Source organism: Homo sapiens, chromosome 2 (genome assembly GCF_000001405.40).
Source record: "Homo sapiens chromosome 2, GRCh38.p14 Primary Assembly".
Lineage (NCBI taxonomy): Eukaryota > Metazoa > Chordata > Mammalia > Primates > Hominidae > Homo > Homo sapiens.
The window spans coordinates 242080605-242103310 of NC_000002.12; the positions used below are offsets into that span (position 1 = coordinate 242080605).

The 22706-nt window shown below is 42.8% G+C and overlaps 3 long non-coding RNA genes across 6 annotated transcripts in view; 1 reads left to right on the forward strand and 2 right to left on the reverse strand.

The window, feature by feature from the left end:
- The window catches only part of LINC01880 (long intergenic non-protein coding RNA 1880), a 36455-nt gene extending 32921 nt beyond the window's left edge, over positions 1-3534 (reverse strand). Inside the window, exon 1 of the long non-coding RNA NR_146651.1 lies at positions 3492-3534. This is a non-coding gene — a long non-coding RNA (long intergenic non-protein coding RNA 1880). The remainder of the gene's footprint in view (positions 1-3491) is intronic.
- Positions 3535-6746: 3212 nt separating this feature from the next.
- LINC03100 (long intergenic non-protein coding RNA 3100) lies at positions 6747-7961 on the reverse strand. The gene has a single exon (NR_186294.1). It is a non-coding gene; the product is annotated as a long intergenic non-protein coding RNA 3100 (long non-coding RNA).
- Positions 7962-8028: 67 nt separating this feature from the next.
- LINC01881 (long intergenic non-protein coding RNA 1881) overlaps positions 8029-22706 on the forward strand; it is a 71871-nt gene continuing 57193 nt past the window's right edge. For all 4 annotated transcript variants that reach the window (NR_130701.1, NR_130699.1, NR_130702.1 and 1 more), the window contains exons 1-2: positions 8029-8197; positions 14283-14423. This is a non-coding gene — a long non-coding RNA (long intergenic non-protein coding RNA 1881). The remainder of the gene's footprint in view (positions 8198-14282; positions 14424-22706) is intronic.

Here is a 22706-nt window from a genome sequence, read left to right on the forward strand (position 1 = left end):
GTCAGAGGCTGTCTGAGGGCCAGCCCTGCCAGTGCTAAGAGGTCCTGCTGCCTGGACACCCAGCCACTAGTGGCCTCATATTTGGTGGACATAGGGAGAAGGCTGTAGGAATTCCAGGCTCAAATGACAACAGAGACAGACACCACCTGTTGTATGAACAAATTGCAGCCAGGAGTTTGGTCCGGGTCTGAGTTCTGCCATCCCTGCTTGGGCTGTGTGTGTCTCATTGCTTGGATCTCGTGTAAGGCAACAGAGAAACAAAAAAGCCATGTCACCATAGAAATAATCATTAACACAATGAGCAAACACTGATACCACATCTGACTGACTTTGCGGCCTTGGCCCACTCCCGGGGTTTCAGCAAAAGTCGTGCCCTTTGGATTGCACATTTCCAGCTAGATGTGCAGCCCGTGTGTTGCACCTCTCTTTCCATTCCTTCTCCACAGTTAGAGGTGGACACTCAAGGCTCCAAAAAGTATAAGACTTTCATCTCAGCCTTCAGAGGGCTTTCAGTCTCCATGGGGAACTGAGTTTTTTTTTTGTTTGTTTGTTTCATTTTGTTTTGTTTTAAGTAGAGAGCAGGGCTGGGCTAAGATTTAAATAACTGAAACAAGTCATAAGGTGCTGATTTCCTGGAAGACAACCTAGGCAATACCATCCTGGACACTGGAAAGGGCAAATATTTCATGACGAACACACCAAAAGCAATAGCAACAAAAGCAAAAATTGACATATGGGATCCGACTAAAGTTAAGAGCTTCTGCACAGCAAAAGAAACTATCAGCAGAGAAAACAGATCATCTATGGAATGGGAGAAAATATTTGCAAACTATGTATCTGACAAAGGTCTAATATCCAGCATCCATAGGGAACTAAATTTACAAGAAAAAAAACAAACAACCCCATTAAAAAGTGAGCAAAGGACATGAACATACGCTTTTCAAAAGAAGACATACATGTGGCTAACAAGCACATTTTAAAAAGTTCAATATCACTGATCATTAGAGAAATGCAAATTGAAACCATCATGAGATACCATCTCACACCAGTCGGAGTAGCTATTACTAAAAAGTCAAATAATAACAGATGCTGGCAAGGTTGCAGAGAAAAGGGAACACTTATACGCTGATGATAGGAGCGTAAATTAGTTCAACCATTGTGGAAAGCAGTATCGTGATTCCTCAAAGAGCTAAAAGAATTACCATTCCACTCAGCAATCCCATTACTGGGTACATACACAGAGGAATAGAAATTGTTCTACAGTAAAGATGCATGCACGTGTTTTTTCATTGCAATCCGCAGCTCACTTCACCCTCCACCTCATGGGCTCAAGCAACCCTCCCACCTCAGCCTCCTGAGTAGCTGGGACTATAAGCCCACACTACTCTGTTCATAATAGCAAAGGCAAGGAATCAATCTATTGCCCAAAAATGATAGACTGGATAAAAAAAAAATAAGTGGTACGTATACACCATGGAATACTATGCAGCCATAAAAAAGAATGAGATCCTGTTTTCTGCAGGAACATAGATGGGACTGGAGGCCATTATCCTCATATCCTAAATTATGAGAACACATGGACACACAGAGGGGAACAACACATACTGGGGCCTACTTGAGGCTGGAGGGTGGGAGGAGGGAGAGGATCAGAAAGACTATCTATTGCGTACTAGGCTAATACCTGGGTGATGAAATAATCTGTACAACAAACCCCCCAGACATGAGTTTACCTACATAGCAAACCTGTACATGTAGGGTGATGAAATAATCTGTACAACAAACCCCCCAGACATGAGTTTACCTGTATAGCAAACCTGTACATGTAGGGTGATGAAATAATCTGTACAACAAACCCCCCAGACATGAGTTTACCTGTATAGCAAACCTGTACATGTAGGGTGATGAAATAATCTGTACAACAAACCCCCAGACATGAGTTTACCTACATAGCAAACCTGTACATGTAGGGTGATGAAATAATCTGTACAACAAACCCCCAGACATGAGTTTACCTGTATAGCAAACCTGTACATGTAGGGTGATGAAATAATCTGTACAACAAACCCCCCAGACATGAGTTTACCTACATAGCAAACCTGTACATGTAGGGTGATGAAATAATCTGTCCAACAAACCCCCAGACATGAGTTTACCTGTATAGCAAACCTGTACATGTAGGGTGATGAAATAATCTGTACAACAAACCCCCCAGACATGAGTTTACCTACACAGCAAACCTGTACATGTAGGGTGATGAAATAATCTGTACAACAAACCCCCCAGACATGAGTTTACCTGTATAGCAAACCTGTACATGTAGGGTGATGAAATAATCTGTACAACAAACCCCCAGACATGAGTTTACCTGTATAGCAAACCTGTACATGTAGGGTGATGAAATAATCTGTACAACAAACCCCCAGACATGAGTTTACCTGCATAGCAAACCTGTACATGTAGGGTGATGAAATAATCTGTCCAACAAACCCCCAGACATGAGTTTACCTGTATAGCAAACCTGTACATGTAGGGTGATGAAATAATCTGTACAACAAACCCCCCAGACATGAGTTTACCTACATAGCAAACCTGTACATGTAGGGTGATGAAATAATCTGTACAACAAACCCCCCAGACATGAGTTTACCTGTATAGCAAACCTGTACATGTAGGGTGATGAAATAATCTGTACAACAAACCCCCAGACATGAGTTTACCTGTATAGCAAACCTGTACATGTAGGGTGATGAAATAATCTGTACAACAAACCCCCCAGACATGAGTTTACCTGTATAGCAAACCTGTACATGTAGGGTGATGAAATAATCTGTACAACAAACCCCCAGACATGAGTTTACCTGTATAGCAAACCTGTACATGTAGGGTGATGAAATAATCTGTACAACAAACCCCCCAGACATGAGTTTACTTGTATAGCAAACCTGTACATGTAGGGTGATGAAATAATCTGTACAACAAACCCCCCAGACATGAGTTTACTTGTATAGCAAACCTGTACATGTAGGGTGATGAAATAATCTGTACAACAAACCCCCCAGACATGAGTTTACTTGTATAGCAAACCTGTACATGTAGGGTGATGAAATAATCTGTACAACAAACCCCCCAGACATGAGTTTACCTACATAGCAAACCTGTACATGTAGGGTGATGAAATAATCTGTACAACAAACCCCCAGACATGAGTTTACCTGTATAGCAAACCTGTACATGTAGCCCTGAGCCTAAAATAATAGATTATTTTAAAAAGATACTGGATTTATGAAGTCCCCAGGAGGTCAGGAGGAAGAGAGAACGCTTGAGACAAGCATGGTCAGTGAGGAGCTTGCAGGGATGGCAGAGGGGCAGGGAGCAGCAGAGTTTGAGTAGAGGAACCAGAAGCCCAGCCCTGGACCCATCTCTGCCTTCCTGTGTGTGCGCCTAACTCAGCTTTCAGGTGAGAGCTGGGGCTCAGGAGGTTATGTACTCACTTGCAGTTGCACGTCTAGGAATCCAGATGATGGTCCCATGTCTGCTGTGCCCCCGCCCTACTCTATTGCTAGGACAGCCAACCTCTACTCAGGGGCTGCAGCCGGTCAGCTGGCATCTACCAGGCTCAGCTGAGAGGGGTTCAGAGCCTAGAGGAGCTGTGGCATGCCAGGTCTAGGCTGCCTGTTGGCTGCTGTCAGGATGAATGCTGTTGTAGATAGATTCTTTTTGGCAACCAGAGACTTTCAGACGTCAATGGCCATGCAGTCTCCATGTTGCCCTTCCCATCCTGACACCACACACTCCTTATGCTGCAGCCACCATGGATGCCTGAGTGAACAGCCCTCAAATTCTATTCTAACTCCTTATTTAAAAGATAAGGAGACCCAAGACTGAGGAATTTGACATAAATAAGGAAACCGGCTTGCCTGAGCTGACTACTGCCTTTGGTCTCACGATAGCTGCCTGGTGGCCTCTGACTTTCACAGCTAGTACAACCTTCCAGCACCTTCCAGGATTGGTTTCTGAAAGAGGGGATTGTTTTTGCTCCCAGTCCCCCTAAACATTCTGTAGGTAATTACAGCACTCATGGCCCCATTTTCTCACTGTGTATTTGCCACCTTGGGTCTGTTCAGATGGCAAGCTCCCGAAAACCAGGCACCTCCTCCTTGTACCCATGGCACCATCGTGGTGCCTGGCTGCTGTCAGCACAGAGCATTAGCTCTGAGACACCTCCTCCTTGTACCCATGACACCGTCGTGGTGCCTGGCTGCTGTCAGCACAGAGCATTAGCTCTGAGACACCTCCTCCTTGTACCCATGACACCGTCGTGGTGCCTGGCTGCTGTCAGCACAGAGCATTAGCTCTGAGACACCTCCTCCTTGTACCCATGGCACCGTCGTGGTGCCTGGCTGCTGTCAGCACAGAGCATTAGCTCTGAGACACCTCCTCCTTGTACCCATGACACCGTCGTGGTGCCTGGCTGCTGTCAGCACAGAGCATTAGCTCTGAGACACCTCCTCCTTGTACCCATGACACCGTCGTGGTGCCTGGCTGCTGTCAGCACAGAGCATTAGCTCTGAGACACCTCCTCCTTGTACCCATGGCACCGTCATGGTGCCTGGCTGCTGTCAGCACAGAGCATTAGCTCTGAGACACCTCCTCCTTGTACCCATGACACCGTCGTGGTGCCTGGCTGCTGTCAGCACAGAGCATTAGCTCTGAGACACCTCCTCCTTGTACCCATGGCACCGTCGTGGTGCCTGGCTGCTGTCAGCACAGAGCATTAGCTCTGAGACACCTCCTCCTTGTACCCATGACACCGTCGTGGTGCCTGGCTGCTGCATTAGCTCTGAGACACTGCTGTGTTTCCCTCCTAGTTCTGCATCAGGTGGTACTGTTTTGTTTTGGTGGCTTGGTTCATTTTTTCTTATTGCAGTATTATCACTGCATAGAAAGCAGAAGTGGTCTTCCCATATTGTGTAAAATCCCCATTAAACATACACCACATGCTTCAGAGCGGCAGGAACAGGAAGAAGGATGGGATTCCCCGTGCCCGAAGGTATACCAAGTCTACATTGTCCTGAGAGTTAGGGACTACAAACACTTGTCCGTGCAGCATTTGGGAAGGTCAGAGGAGACGACTGTGTGGTGTGCATTGGAGAAGCGTGGGGCCCCTGTGCTCACCACCACCCTAAGCCCCTGTGAGGCAGGGGGCACCTGGTGCACTGTGACCAGCACTCTCCCAGCTTCCTGCCAGGAGGAGCCAGCTCCTTAGGTTCTGTAGGGTTTGACTTAAAGAAAATTTTAAAACGTGATTTTTCAATAAGTTGGTTGCCAAAAAATCTCTGTGGTTAAGGAGGCACCTCCCTCCTGGTCACTACTTCCCCCTGCCGAGCCTTCTGCCTGGGCAACTGCACCACAATCTCCAGCTGCACCATGTGTTTTGAAAAGCGTTTCTCCCCGCCCCTCTGGGGTTTTTCTCCTCCTCCAGTGGCGAAATTTCAGAGGGCACTGAGTGGGTTACTCTTCACAAGCACAGAGCTAAGCCCAGTCCTGGTAGAAAGCACACACAAAGAAGACCCAAGACCATGAATATGCTGACCTAAGTTGGACAGAACTGCTTCATGGCTTCCTGCTGTTACTCCATGGGTTTCTGATCCTGTTCTGTAGGTTTCTGCTGTTACTCTGAGTTCCTGCTATTACTCTGTGGGTTCCTGCTGTTACTCTGTAGGCTCTGCTATTACACTATGGGTTCTGATGTTACTCTGTGAATTCCTGCTGTTACTCTGTGGGCTCTGATGTTACACTGTGGGTCCTGTTTTTACTCTGTGGGTTCTGATATTACTCTGTGGACTCTGATGTTACTCTGTGGGTTCCTGCTATTTCTCTGTGTGTCCTGCTGTTACTCTCTGGGCTCTTGTGTTACTCTGTGGGTTCCGACATTACTCTGTGGGCTCTGCTGTTACTCTGTGGGTTCTGACGTTACTTTGTGGGCTCTGCTGTTACTCTGTGGGCTCTGATGTTACACTGTGGGTTCTGCTGTTACTCTGTGAATTCCTGCTGTTACTCTGTGGATCTCTCTGTGGTTACTCTCTGAATTCCTGCTCTTATTCTGTGGACTTCTTTTGTTGCTTTGTGAGTTTCTGCAGTTAGTTTACCTCTTTACCATCCAGCCAGGAATTCTTTCACTAGGAATTGTGTGGATGCTGGCCAATTGGGCTAAATTTAATATTACTATGTCCCCTATTGTGGTGGTGGGGTCTTGGCTTGGCAATTTCTACTAGTATTCCATATGCAGTTAATCTTGACACATCAGTGAAAGAAAAATAAAATCTCAGGCCTCCAAACTTACTATGCCAAAGGGAAAAGTTAATATTGGCAACACACACACACACACGCACACACACACACACACACACATACATGCCTTCTTTTTGTTCCCAAAAGCTTACTTTATCTTATGTGAAATGTAGATCTACTGAGTATGAGACAGATGTATAACCCTCCCCCATACCTTTCTTTTCACATGTGAAATGTAGATTTGCTGTACTCTAATCAGAGCCTCACAAAAATGTGACCACTTGCCTCATAGCCTACTCTCCCCTCTTTCCCCTCCTACCGGCGCTTTTCCCTTAAATATTTGGAAAAAAGTACAGGCCAAAAATCCTACTGTAACCTGTGTTTCTTTTTCCCCAGGCAAATCCACAATTTTGGCAAAATAAACCTCTATATCAGTTGTGATCTGCCTCAGACACTTTTTGGTTTACACAACAATCCAATCATAGCGATTTATTTGGAAATATACCTTCACAAGTTAAATCAAACCACAGCACTACTGGGCATTATTTGTAATGGCAAACTATTGCAAACAATCTAAAGCCCATCATAGACATCATAGAAACTATTCTAATAAATTGATACATTTATATAATGGAATAATCCGCAACCTTGAAGGGAATGAAGGAAGGAATAAAGAGAGAGGGTAAGGAAGAAAAGAAAGGAGAGAGGGAAGGAGGGACAGACAGGTGTTTAAATTGGGGATGTGCAAGCAATATTGCCTGCTTCATTGCCTTCACATTATCTAAAAGCATGTGGTCAAGAAACACTATTACAATAAGCACATCAGAAATAACTTCTAAAATTACTTTTCCAAAATATGAATCCATACTATACACTTCCTGTAATGTGCACCAAATGTAGATGCACACATTTTAACAAGGAAAAGACTAATACTCATATTTGCTTGCTACACACCAGACACTGTTTTAAATGTTTTGCACACGTTAACTCATCTGTTCTTACAGAAATCCTGTAGCGTGCACCGCCACCTCCATGTTTCTAGGAGGAAACTGAGGCACGGGGGCTGCGGCTCCTGGACGCACCTGGCCTTCTCGGCCTGCCTCTCTCCCTCCAGCCGCCCCACATTCTTTTTTCCTAATTGGAAAAAACTATTCACGCTGCTCCTCCAGGGCATTTCAACCTTCTAGAAAGACTCGACAAGATTCGAAACTGTTTATAAAGAGAACGTGCTTGTGCCTGAATGCTGAGTGTGAGCGCGCAGTGATGCCCTAGAGTGCAGTCATCCCGGGCTTGGCGCCCAGCGGGTGGAAATACGGCCGCAGGGTGGAAATGCGGCGGCGGGGCTGCCCAGGCTCCTGTGGGACCCGCGCGGCGCGGGCACGCACATTCTCAGGGACGCGCGTCCTCAGGCCACGAGAACACCTGAAGGCCCCGGCCAGCGTCCTCCAGTGAAGACCCGGACCGGCGTCGTCACCCGCCGCGCAGGCCTAAATCTCAGGTCTTCACCGTCATCTCCCAGCGATCGCAGGGATCTCAGGCACTGACCGCGCCCGTCCCTGCGCCCCCCCGCCCCCGCCCCCCCGCGCCCCCGCGCCCCCGCGCCCCCGCGCCCCCACACCTCCACGCCCGGCACTCTGGGCGCGCGCGGACGGCGGGGCAGTGCCTACTACGCAGGCGCACGCTGCGGGCGTCAGGACCCGGCAGCAACACTGCCACGCGAATCCGCGCCGGCCAATCAGCATGGCCAGGGGCGGGGCTTCCCTGAGGCGCGCCGAGAGGCGGTGGCCCACTTCCGGCAATAATCGCCTGGTCGCCGTCAGGTGCCGGCCCAGGTGGCAGGCGCGCCCGTTGGGCACTGGGGGACGCGGGCGCGTCAGGTGAAGACTGGGGGCTGCAGGCGCGCTAGGTAGGTACGGGGTGCCGCGGGCGCGTCAGGTGAAGACTGGGCGCCGCAGGCGCCTTAGGTGAAGATTGGGGATCGCGGGCGCGTCAGGTGGGGACGATGGGCCACGGGCGAGTCAGGTGAAGACCGGGGGCGGCGGGCGCGTCAGGGGAAGACATGGGGTCGCGGGCGCGTCAGGTGGGGACCGGGGGTCTCGGGCGCGTCAGGTGGGGACGGGGTTGTCGCGGGCGCGTCAGGTGGGGACGGGGTTGTCGCGGGCGCGTCAGATGGGGACGGGATTGCCGCGTGCGCGTCTGCTGAGGTCTGGGTCCGCGGGCGCGTCAGGAAGGGACGATGGGCCGCGGGCGCGTCAGGTGGGGTCTGGGGGCGGCCGGCGGGTGTGGAGGGTTCATTCAGGGAGCTGCGGGCGAGTCAGGTGGGCACGGGGACCGCCCACAGGTGCATCGCGTGTCCTCAGCCGCTTCCCCTGCCCACCTTCTGCGACCCCTTCCCGCCCCCACCCTCCTGGGCCGTCTTGCAGGCCCGAGCTTGTGTCCGCCTCGCTGGGCAAGGTGTTTCGGGGACGACTCCTGCCGGCGTTTGCCCTCCGGGCTCGGCCCTTGCCTCTTCGCCGGTGGGCACCTGCTAGGTGTGACCCCTCATTCCTCCAGGCCACTCTGCCCCGTCTGCTGCTTACCTTTTTTTCCCTACTCCTGGTCTGTGGCTCTGGCTCTGTCTCTGTCTCCTCCCTTAATTTCTTTCCATGCTTATTTTTCTTGCAGCAGACACTAATTTTGCATCCTTCCCCTCACAGTAAGCTCAATTTGACCTTTTTCTCAATTAGATTCCACCTCTGTCCTTGGGTCTATTCAAACTCATTTTGAAGACTAAAGAATCTAGAGAACCATTTCTTCCCTTATGAAGCTGTCTCTTGCTGCCTCCAAATCCTTACCATCCGGCCCTAATCAAAAAAGACGTTTACTCTTTCATATTCTGTTTTCTCCTCGTCTTTACATGTTTACCTTTCCCATGAGGAATCTGTGATTATCTGTAAGTCCTTACAGTAAATCTTATTTCTGACTCTCAGCCCTCAGTGTGCCATTTTTTTAAATGTCCTTTCTGGATCAAATTTGTCCACACTTTTAAGCAAAACAAATAGGGAAACACATGTGGTCTTTTAAAATGGATTAGAGTTTTCTTTCCTGTCTTGTTTTCCTTGTTTTAGTGCCTTTATATTTAGATTCATCATTACTTGAAATCATATTAGTGATCTGTAATAGACGGTAAAAAAAAAAGTTAAAAGGCTTATAATTTAATGGCATCTGTTTTAATAGGGTTTTCAGGAACTGCTATTATAAACATAGTGGGTAGGAGCATGGATCCCGGAGTGAGACTCCATCATTTTGAATCCCAGCTCCACTGAACTCTTTGCCTCAGTGTCTTCATCTATAAAATAGATAATGAAACTTGTAAAACAAGAATAATGTTTTCTATCTTGGAGGACAGCATGAGGATTAAATGAGACAACATATGTAGATTGTTTAGAGTAATGCATAGCCTATAGTAAGCTCTAATAAATGTTTGCCATTATTATTGTAAAGAAAAAATATGCTTGTTGAAGGAAAGACTTTTTTTTTGTTCTGAGTCTCTCATGCCAAGAGTTTCCACCAGCAAATGAACTTCATGAAGTCATTTTCTACTGAAGTACCCCACCCACATGTCCTACCACATGAAATAGAAATTAAGGGAAGATTTAAAATAGTTAATCATTGTAGGCTGTCTGAAATAAGTTGGCATAAAATGTGCTTAAAATTTGCAAATTATACAAGCTACACCCTTTGAGTGCTTGCTCTTAAAAGTTTAATAATTTTCAGGAGTAATTTCTAGTTTTTTTTTGTATTTGCAAATCCCAAAATAAAGGTAATTTTAATTAAAATAAGCGTACAAAGCTCTAGCAATTCACATTTTTTTAGCTGAACAAATACATTCCCATTAAAAGCCGTGGGTTGTCATCATTCTATAAAACTTTAGTAGCATTGTTTTCTGATTTACAAACTCAGAAGCCTCAGTTTGGGAGTATTTTTGAAAACTTGAGATCCAGACCCCAGACCTTTTAAATTGCAACTTGTCTTTTTTTGTTGTTGTTGTTGTTTTTAATCTGCATCCAGAGTTTGTGCTTTAGTTCATGAGCTGTATAGATTATGCTTTAAGAAAAACTTCATTGTGATCCAAAGAGCATACCATAACAAATCTGTGAAGCACACACATCTTCAGAGAAACAAATCTTTTCCTCTGTGTTGAAAATAAGCCTTTGGGCATGGACTATTTTTTTATTTCCATGGCTGCATTTCACTCCTTTCAACCCTTAAAAAAATCAAACTTAGCAGCTGAGAAATTCAGACCAAACTATTCATTTCTCACTGAGTTGCCAAAATGAATTAACTGTAGAGTTTAGGTAGTTGTAAAAGAATTGGTTATATTAATGGAAACAGTAGGCAGGCTCTTTATGTAAATGTTATAAAGATTGTTTGTGAAACTAGAAGATAAGTGTATTAAATGATGAGTGGGCATAGTGTCTAAATAGGTAAGTACAATATTTGTGTGTCATCACGTTTTAAAATATTTTGTCAGCTGAGGATACCGGGATGTACATAGGACAGTCATCCAGATAAGGTTCTGTTGGCAAGATATTTGTTGCCTAGTTGTTTTTTTCTGTCTCCATGTTTTTCATTTGATCTATCCTACAAGCCCTAGAAAATTATTATTCTCAAAACAACACTGCTCACACTGATCTGTTGCTGAAAAACGTTTAATTACTGACAGAATAAAGTCTAAACACCTTTGATATTCTTTGATATTCTTCTATGACCTGGCTTCTAGTCACTTTCCCAGCTTATGTACCAGTCCTCTGATAAACTTTCTCCATTTTATCCAATCTTTTCTGCTTATTTTTCTCAAACTGTGGCACACATTTTGACCTTTATACTTATGCACCCACCATTCCCATGATTGATATTTTTTGCCTTGCCTCTCCATTAATTTAAGATCTAACCATGCTTTAGGGCCAAGATCAAGTCCTAGTTTCTCGTCAGAGCTTTCCCAGCTGATTTGCTTTCTGCTCAAATTAACTTTATTCTCTCTTTACCACAAGTTACAAGATTGTGGACATATGTGTATGTATGTATACATGCACACTCACATATCTACATGTAAACACACTTTATTATAGTACACTTGTATGGAATTTGTGTTTTGCTATTGTTCTTTTTTAGTTCCTTAGCTAAATTGCACACTTTTGAGGGCAGGAACACCTAGCATAATAACATGTAGTTGGTGCTCAAATGTTTGTCGTTGAAGTAATCCTGTATTTGTTAGCAGTAACAAATACAAATCCTGTATTTGTTAGCAGTAACAAAATCTGTTAGCAGTATTTTTCAGGATTATCCACTTGATTTTTTTTTAAAATATATATTTCTGAATCCACAGTTTCAAGTTGATATTGAGAGATAATTTGATAATTATCAGAGATGTTCCTAGCAGCCATTTTCTGTTGAATGTGTTTTATGAGACTCAAGGTGCCACTTAAACAGGCATCTGCTACTTCATGGTCTTTTCTGCCTTTGGTGGGAATGTTCTTGAAAATCATAAAATCAGCTGTATGCTATTAGAGATAGTTTTAGATAACTCTAGATCGACTGAACATGGGCATTGAGTTTTGCATTTTAAGATGTTCAGTAGTTGTGAAGCAGTTCTGTGAGACAAAGTTTATCAAAATTGTGCTGAAATTTAAGGAATAAAGTATTTTCTAAAGCAAGAATTTAAATTAATCATTATGTGACTGAAAAAGACATGTTCTGACTATAAGTCAGTTTAGCAAGGTTTGAGATTTTCTTCGTGTAAAGAATAATTACTTCATCATACATTTCCTACACCAGTCAAGAGTTAAGCATTTGTGGTTGATCCAGGAATATTGTTGAAGTCTATGTAATTTCCTTCCTTTTTTTTTCTGTATCTTCTAGGATTGTATAAGTGCCCATTTAATAACTTGTTTTTTGTTAATTATACTAAATATAGTTGGGAGGTGGTGTTTGGAGATGTTCATCTCTCATTTATTCTCCATGATGTAAATATTCTACATTATTCTCTACGATATAAATATTCTACATTATAAAATACTCAAGTCTGTTCGGGACGTGAAATTAAAGTAACACATTACAGAAACCACTTTTACTTGAGTAATTCAGCTACCTTTCTGTAGCTAAATTCAACGTATATTTTCAACTCTTGCCATGCTTGGCGTTTTTATAACATTTTCGTCTCTGTCGATCATTTCTTTCTTGAAATACATTTTTCTCCTGGCTTCCTACTTCTCCCTCTACCTTTTTGGCTCTTCCTTTTCAGTTTTTCTTTTTGGCTTATATCTGCTGGTCCCTTAAATGGTGATGTTTCTTAGGGTTTTTTTCTTGGCTCTCTTGATTTCCCTCTCGACATATTCTGTGATATTATTTGTGTGGTCTTGATTAGTATCTAAATGCTCATGATTTTCCTCTTTCTCTCTAGTCCAACTCTCTTCTGAACCATGGATCTATATATTTATTCATTCAGTAAATAAATACTTATAGAGCTCCTGTTGTTTTCCTGGCATTGTTCAAGGTAATGGAATACGGACCTGAACAAGACATTGCATTTTCTTGGAGGAAAACAGATGATAAACACGCTAATCATTTCAGACAGCCCTTACAACTATGAAGGCACTAGATAATGACTTAGACTGGTAGGGATGGGGTTGAGGCAGCAGAACAGCACTGTTTGGACAGGGAGTCAGGGAGCCTTTCTGGGATGTGACATTTTGAATCAGCAGTGTGAACATCTGAGGTGGTTTTTAGCCTCATGCACAGTCTCACTGTGTATGAGAATCACCTGTGGACCTTTAAAAACTATTTAAACTTAGCCTTCACCCCCAAATATTCATATTTAACTCAACTAAAATGGGACTAAGCACTTGAATGTTTAAAAACCTTCCTGTGATGTTAATGCACAGCAGTAGTTGAAAATCACTGATCAAGAGGAGCAGAAATCAAGTTAATGGGAAGAACTAGCATTTGAAGTCTCACTCTTATCAAATTGTGAGCTTCATGAAGTTAATCACGAAGTTGCATCATTTTTTAAGTCATAATTTTTATACCTGGAGTCTAGTATTTCAAACTGAACAGGCATGTCCGAAGCTGAAATTAATATCCCTTATCTCTCCTTTCCTAATAAAACCCTGCTGTTCCTTCTGTATGTCTTATCCCAGAACCAGGGGCTACAAAACAAAATCTAGATAACTTCCTTGATTTCCTCCTCACGTTTCCAGCCAGTCTTCAAGTACTGTTTGACTCTGTTTCCTAAATGTTTCTGTAGTCTCTGCTCTTCTGTTTCTTTTGCCACTGTACACTCTCACCTTTTAAAAATCAACATTCAGAAGCCTCCAGTCCCAACTACTTTCCTGCAGGTGATCCTCACCCCATACCTTCTCCCAGTGTGATACTGAGTTCTTTGTAAACCACAAATCTAATTGAATCACTTACCTGCTTACTTCCCTTTTTTGGCCCCTCATTGCCCTCAGAATAGCATCCAACTCCTCTGACTTGATCCAGCCTTAAATGACTTCTCCATCCTTAATTCTGGCCCACTCCCTCTCATCTATTCTAAGCTTCAACCAAACTGAACTACTTAGAGTTGCTGAACATGAATACATTTCATTTTTGGTTGCTCCTAACTTCTGGTAAAGAGAATACTTGTTTGGGATAATATTCCCTATTCCACACTCCCTGACCCCTGCTTGTTTTTCAGGTATGAGCTTGAATGTCACCTCTGGTAAACCTTTCGTGGGATATGCAGTATTAGGCCAGTAAAACCACGTTTACTTACCCCATTTTATCACTTTAGTACAATCAAAGTACTGTGTTATTGTCACTGTCACCAATGTCCAGCCAACATTTAATTAATGAGCAGACATTTAAATGTTAAGAACTTTAATCTTTAAAATTAATGAATAAATGTTCTAAGTGAAAAGAAACTTTTATGAATTATATATACTTTTTAACATAAATTAACTTTTTCATAGGAGAACTATGCCATTTTTGGGTCAGGACTGGAGATCTCCTGGATGGAGTTGGATTAAGACAGAAGATGGCTGGAAGAATTGTGAATCTTGTAGTCAGAAACTTGAAAGAGAGAATAACCATTGTAACATCAGTCACAGCATGTAAGTTACAGCTGAGCAGAACCATGCCATTTGCCAGTTTAGCATGTATGGCCTTACCTATTTTTCAAGTCCCTGCAAAGCTCCATAACTTTTGAGACTTGCCCACCCAGAAGGCTGGTGTGAAGAAACAAGTTATTTAGCTAAAAAATGAGGCTAGTAGATTGCCTAATATTCATACACAGATGCTTTTTTCTTTTTTTGTAATTTAAAACATTTAATCCTCACAATAATTGGGAGAGAGGTATTATTATTAATCCCACATTATAGCTGAGGAACCTGAGGAAATTAAAATACACAGTTTTGGTGGCATGTATCAGAAATGTAATAATAGTGTCTTACACAAGACAAATCAGTTTTTCTCCCTTGAAAGCCTGAGTTGGCATGATGACTTTGCTCGTAACATTGTCAAGGGGCCAAGCACAGTCTGTCTTGTTGCTCTGCCATCCCAAGAGTGCAGCCTTACCTGCATGGTCCAAAACGGTGTATTACCTTCCACATTTGCACTCAGGCCGAAGGGTAGGTGGGGTTGGTGAGACACAACCTGTGTTTCAGTGGCACAGCCCAAAAGTTACATGCATCACGTTGCCCACACCTTGTTGGCTAGAGCACTAGTGCAAGGGAGGCTGGGGGTTGTGGCCCAGCCGTGTGTCCAGATAAAAACCAGAGACTGCATGAGCACAGAACCAGGGTAGGTGGCTATCGTATGATGACTACAGTGTCTACCACAGTGGTGTTTGAGAATTTGGAGGGCTAGGAAGGTCTTGAGATAGCCTCCTCTAGAATGTCATGGGTCTAGTCATTTATTGTATATTATTTTACATTTGTGTAATTATCAACTGTGTGCTTGATGGGCCATATGTTTTTCTGACAGAAGTTTAGTAACTTTAGACCAGAGACTGGTTTTTGCAGTATTTGAAGCAGAAATTAATTTTCTATTTTTGTTACAGTGAGGATAACACATAATATTTGTTAAACTTATATTGTAGCAGTTCTCTGCCACACTAAGATGTATTTAATGTTGATAGCTGTAAAACTTATTTAAAGCTTGTAATTATGCTGTTGGTATTGCATAATGTTATACAGTTATGAATTCTCTAGGTCATTTTTACTATTTTTTACGGCAATTTTTTTAAAATTTAAAGTTGGTTGGCTGTATCTAGAAATGTTAGGTGTCTCACATTTACTCCCAATAGCCACTATTAAATGTGGATTTTAGGATGGGGAGATATATTACAGAATGTCAATTTAAAAAAAGCTGTAATGCTTGAAGTACAGTGTTACTGCTGCATCTGCGGTGAGGAATTTGTGGGAATTTGTTTTTTTCCCTCATGTATTCTTTTTCCCATCATCTCAAACACATTTTAAATGTCTGAGAATTGTTTTTTTTTTGCGCTGCACACATAAAATTAGAGAATACAGTCGAGATATGTTTTCTTTGCATAACTGGCTACCCCTCTGTCTCCCTTTCCCCTTCCCCCAAACTTACCTACAGATCCACCCCTTTGAATCAATGGCTGCTAACACAAGCGTCCCTGCGCAAAAAGGTTTTATGACAGCAACCCTGGCTACCCTTTGTGGGGCACAGTGAGCGAGAACTAGTCAGCACCACCTTTTACCCCACCTAGTTGCTTTGCAGTACTGGGACCGCCCCGGCTTCCTACTCTGCCATTTCGTTCATCTTTCGTTCATCTTCCTGGGACTTCTGTCCGTTCCTACCAAAATGCAAATCCAAACCTGTGGGTAGAGGCTGTTGGTGACCTGAAACTGCAGCAGATGTTTAATATATCCTTTCTCTGGAAGGAAAAACCGCTTAACTTTGAACCTAAAATTGATTTTAAAAAGATAAGACCATATGTAATCACCATTTAAAATCACTATATAAATGACCTTCTCTTTCCCCCACATGTCTTTGAGAAACATAGTACCCCTAATTCTTTGATTTAAGGTGGGCTTTCAAAACTTAGAAAAAGAACTATAGTAAAAATAATTTAGGTAATCAAGATTCTACGTCACTTTGTTAATTTTCTTTTTTGTGAACGTGCGGGAAAATAGGCCTTTAGTATCCTTCTGCTTACTTTTCAACTCATTTTAGTATTCAAAGTTTAGAGAACATAGGGAAGAAATTAAGCAATTCAACATGGTTGATCTGGGGGAAGCCAGCCAGTTCATACTCTGAATCCTTGATTAAGCTGCTCTTTCAAGCAACATTCATGATATTACTGAGGTTTAAACATAGTTTGATGGACAGAGGATTCATCTTAACCCTGACCTAAGGAAGCCTTTTATTAGGCTGTTGATTCAGAATAGAAGGTAGATCAGCTGGGGTCCAGATTGAAGAGAGGACAGCCAGTTAAGGGTTTCAGTAGACAGGTGAGAAATGTTGAGTGCTGCCTATGGTGATGTCTGCATAGCTGGACAGAGGGTCAGGATCAGTAAAAGAGTGAGTCACAGATTGATTGGACTAGCCAAAAGGGTGGCCCTGAGAAGGACTCTGAGGGTTCAGCTGGGGAAATGGTGTAAGTAAATAATCTGGCTGGGTCTTCTCTCCAGCATAGTGTTCCTGCCACTCAGTTTTATGTTTGACGACAGAAATTGTATGATTCCTATAAAGGAAAGATATTGAAGAAGAGTGTCTAGATACTATATATCTTTAAGAATTTCTAACTTTTTCCATCGGATTTCAGTGTTATTATGGGCACTGTAATTGCCTATAGTTATTTCAGTATAACTATAGGCACTGTTGAGGATATATAAGAAATTGTTCCTTGTCTTTTATGAAGTTGACATTTGACAAGGGAGTGTGTAGTCAAACATAATGCATTCAGCTCAGTCTTGGCAGAGATGCTTCTGGGTTCTTTGCATTGAATTTTCTAAATCTTTTTTATTGCATTATTTTTTATACCTCATAAAACATTATATTTTCTATTCAAATTTGAATGTCTTAACACTTACTTTGGTAATTTGGTTCTCAGTGGGCTTAGCAATGGGGGCCATCGTATTTTAAGGTTCTACCAAAATTATCTTCAACTCTAGTAGTTCCCAGGATATCCCAAGATAATGGAATTCTATAAAAAGCATTTTTAAATTGTGCATCCCCCAAGGAAACAAGATAGAAGAAGCTACATTTTTGGTTCCCTTATGAGAATGTGAACATAGTCTCTGGTTACCATGAGGGATAGAGAATTCAGGGGATCCTTCTAGCCCTTGAAGTGTGTACTGGGCTCGAAAGCCACTGTACCTTGGAGAGGAGACATCCTGTATCCATTTAAGTAAATATCCTTGTTAGCACATTGGCATTTTCCCCTTAGGATCTTTAGAGTATTGTTACAGGTTTCAGCAAAAATCCAGATGGCCTTCCTGATACCCTTTCTTTAGTGACTGGAAAGAAAAAGAAAATTAATTTCAGTGTCAGACTCAGCACTGTTTCAAGCAGTATTTGTTAGTGCTTCTTAAATTAATGATTTTCTCTGGATTGTAAACTCTTTTCTCTGACTTTAATATTATCTCTTCCCCAAATTTGTGGGTTTTGTCAATTATAAAGCAACATGTGCTCTTTGTAAATGAAAAACAACAGAAAATTCATGCAGTCCTGAAGCATAGAACGTGAAGGGTGAAGTTCCCCTTTTCTAGCTCAGATCCTTTTCTGCACAGTCACCTCCTGCATAGTCATGCTCACCAGATGTCAGAGTCTGCAAAGAATCGTGGTCATTTTCTCCACCCCAGTCCCTGCTGTTGCCTGGTGGTTTCAGTGTCCACCTGTGGGACTCACAGCCTCTGGCCTTAGTACTGTCCTCTTTGTTCCTAGGATCTGCTTCTCTCCTCTCCTCTTCTCTTCTCTGTCTCAGCCACCCACTCCCATGGTCCAGACTCATGAATTCGGGCATCCCAGTCCTTAAGCGTAATCTTCTCACCTTCCAGATTTCCTGACTACCACCTCAACCGTTGCCTTATTTTTTCTACCCTATCAACCTTCTTTTTATCATGTCTCCTTTTGTCCAGCTTCTATTCCATGATCCATTGTTTCAGTAACACTCTTGCCGCTACCCTAAACTCCATCCCAGTCTTTTTTTAAAAAACACACTCAAACGGCATATTCCCAACCCTGAATGAACCAACACATGAGCAGCTAAGAAATATAAGAAAGAAGATTCACACCAGAGAACACAGTGGGGACATCATCAATTCACTCACTTGCTTTCTGCTGAATTTATTCTCCCATTGCTTGCTCCTCCCTGTTCACCCACTCATTTATTTGCTCTTTTCACTTGCTCACTCATTTATTCTTCCACTATTCTGTAAACTGATGTTTCTTGGTCATCTGCTATGTGCCTGTAGGGCCCCCATGCGGCCCACAGCCCCACTGTGTTTGCTTGGTTGGCCTGCTCTACTCCTCTTTGTGTTATCAATATTTCAAACTCCTTCACTCTCCTCTGATGTTCGGCTCCCTACATACTCCTTCTCCATCTTTTCAAAACAACCGGATCTCTTGTGTCACCAGGAAATCCAGAGCCATCAGACTTTTTCTCAGAACCTTAAGTTGATTTAAAATTTTCATCTTCATTAACTTTATCCTGAATCTTTATTTTTTGTCCAGAACACCTGAGATATTCTGAACAGAGGCTTATTTTTGTTAATTATCTCACAGGGAACAGTAAGTGTGTTGCCCTTTGCCTGTTGATTACCCCCAGGGGTAGAGTCATAGGGATTTTTCCTACATAAGTGGTAGTGGCTTTTCTTTGCTCTTGATGGGAAGGACACAGCTTTCCCCACCCCTCCAGAAAGGGTTTCCTTGGAAATGGCATGGGCCGGAGTCCTACCTCTACTCCTTTGTTGGGTAGATAAAATCTACCCAGGAGCCAGACTTAGAGATGTCTCTCGTCTTATTATTACACATACTGTTACACCTGTTTAGTCCACAATATATTAAGGATTTACTATGTGCTATGGTGTCAGGATACAGCAATAAATGAAACATGAAAACCCATGTCTGATGGAGCTTGCATTCTGGTGAAACAGATAGGCAGTGGACAAGATGAGTTCCACAGTGTAGTAATTGTGATAGTATGTGGGAGATAAGAAATGCTAAGGATGGGTGGTGTTAGAGGAAGATCTACAGAGAGTGGCCTCTAAGAAGCCATCTGTGGAAGCAAACCTTAGGCAATGAGAGCAGGATGAATGGATGTCTGAGGGCAGGGCCTCCCCGGCAGGGAAAGAAAAAGTGCAAAGACCTCAAGGCAGGAGTACATCATCTGGCATATTCAGGGACAGCAGGGTTCCAGCATGGATAAGGGGAGCCCAGAAGCGGGGCCGGTAGGAGACAAGATCCCAGCCTGACTGGGTCCCAGCTGTGAAGTACCTGTTGTCATAGTAAGGACTTGGGCTTTTCTGAGTGAAGTAGGGAGTCAGGGTTTTGAGCAGAGGAGTGATTTGTTCAGGCCTATGCTTTAACAGGATTATTCTGGCTACTGTGTTAAGAACAGACTTCCAAGAGGCAGGACAGAAGCAAGTGGACCAATTCTTAAGAGGCTTGGGTTAACCTCCATGGGAAATGATCATGGCTTGGAGAGAAAGGAGGTGGTGGATGAGGAAGGGCTCAAATCCTGGGTGTATTCTGCAGGTGGAACTGACACATGGAATGTGTATGGTGCAGTAGGAGGGTCGAGGGGTGAGACTAAGACTTTGGCCTGAGCAGCTGGAAGGTAGAGTTCCATTAACTGAAATAGCATCTAAATCTGCATTGCCTTGCACAGGGTCCTTGGGTCTGTGCCTAGGAACAGAACCACAGTGTCACAGGTCATGCACCTCTTTCCCTTTCCAGTGAGGTGGTGTCAGCATGTTCTCCTAATGCATTGCATGTTCATCCTTTTCCTCCACTTGTATTTCCTGGAAGTTGTTCCATGTCAGTGTGCATTGAGTTCCTCATTCATTTTAATGATGGCATTTCATTGTTTAGGTATACCATAACTTATTTGTCCAAGCTTCCACTGACATCATTTTGGCTATTTCCCACTTTTCATTATTTCTGGTAGTATAGCATGGGTCATCTGTGAATATCTCTTTGCATACTTGTGTGAATACTTATGAAATCTAAGTTCCTAATAGAATTGTATATTTAAAATTGTAGTATTGCCACATTACCTTCTGTAATTTTGCACCAGTTTATACTCTGAATAGTAGTGTACACAGATTCCCATTACTTCACACTTCACCCAAGATGTGTGTGTGTCAGTTCAGGTTACACACTGCACAAGGGGAGGGTTTCATCATGAGGGAATAATGGCTGAAATGCATCTGTGTGCCTTGTGTAGGCTGCATGTGTGTCTTCATCTAAAGGTGCTGTCTGCTCCCATGCCATCTGCGTTGTGGGGACAGTGCACAAGGTGTTTACAGCAGCCTTGTCTTTGTAATTACTTTAACTAGTTTGGTGGGCAAAAAACATTAGACATTTTATTTCTTTTCCTTTCCCTTTCCTGTCCTTCCTTTTGTTCGTTCGTTTGTTCTTTTTTTTTTTTTTTTTTCCGAGATGGAGTCTTGCTCTGTCACCCAGGCTGGAGTGCAGTGGCGTGATCTCGGCTCACTGCAACCTGTGCCTCCTGGGTTCAAGCAATTCTCCTGCCTCAGCCTCCTGAGTAGCTGGGACTACAGGCACCCACCACCACACCTGGCTAATTTTTGTATTTTTAGTAGAAACAGGGTTTTGGCATATTGACTAGAATGGTCTTGATCTCCTGACCTCAGGTGATGCACCCGCCTCAGCCTCCCAAAGTGCTGGGATTACATGCGTGAGCCACCGTGCCCAGCCTGTTTCTTTATTAAGTAAGAGAGCTCTTTTAAAAGAAATTATAATTATATTTCCCCTGTTTACACTTATAAAAAACTAAGAAGATAAGAATAGTTAATTTACAAAACACTAGGATGCACAGTGCAACAACAGGAGAAATCAAAGTTTTTTCAACCAACATAGTTCAGTTGGGAAGGGAAAGATTTTTTCAACTGGATAAACATGCAAGGAAAAATGAAACTCTACTACTCACTCTTACTGTGGACATAGCATTAATTTTAGATGGATTGTAGAATGAACTGTAAAAGGCTAAAACTGTAAAGTTTTAAGAAGAAAATAATATTTTCACAATGTAAAGTAGGCAGATTGCTTACCACACAAAAACCACAAGCTGTGAAAGAAAAAAAGATAAACTTTATATTAAAAACTTATACCTAAAGTCATCATTAGAAAGGCAGAGCAACGGCTGGGCGTGGTGGCTCAGGCCTGTAATCCCAACACTTTGGGAGGCCAAGGCGGGCAGATCACCTGAGGTCAGGAGTTCAAGACCAGCCCGGCCAACATGGTGAAAACCTGTCTCTACTAAAAATACAAAAAAAAAAAAAAAATTAGCCGGGCATGGTGACAGGTGCCTGTAATCCCAGCTACTCAGGAAGCTGAGTCAGGAGAATCACTTGAACCTGGGAGGTGGAGGTTGCGGTGAGCAGAGATCCTGTCATTGCACTCTAGCCTGGGCAACAAGAGCAAAACTCCATCTGAAAAAGAAAAAAGAACAAGATTTACTATAAAATGTAAAATCACCACAATCAAGAGAGTGGTATGTGGTATTGGTGAAAAGATAGATACACAGGTCAGTGGAACAGAACAGAGGACCCCAGATAAGTCCATACAGATATGGTTGGTTTATTTTTGACAGTGGTGTAAAGGCACCTCTTAATATATTCCATGGAGAAAGTGTAATCTTGTCAACAAATGGACTAGAAAACTAGATGTGTATATGCAAAAATAAATAAATAAATAAATAACCTGTACAGCTCACATTTTATACAAAAATGAACTCAAAATGGATCATATACCTAAATGTAGAATGTAAAACTGTAGAACTTATGGAAGAAACCCAAAGGAAAGTCTGCATGATCTTGGGCAGAGTTTTTAGATATGATACCAAAAGCACAATCCATAAAAGAAAAAAATCTATAATTTGCATTTTATCAAAATTTTAAAATTCTACTCTCAGAGAACACATTTGTAAGTCACATATCTGACAAAGGGTTAGTATCCAGAATAATAAAGAACACTTAAAACTCAACAATAAGAAAACAGCCCAGTAAAAAATTGGGGAATAGTTTTGGTGAACCTGTACTTCACCAAACAACTTGCATGGATTGCAGAGAAGCCCATGCAAATAAGCAGAGAAAAATAAGCATGTGATGCCCAACATAATTTATTGTTAGGGAAACAAATGCAAGCAATCCGGAAGGTAAACACTGCAGCTAGCCTAA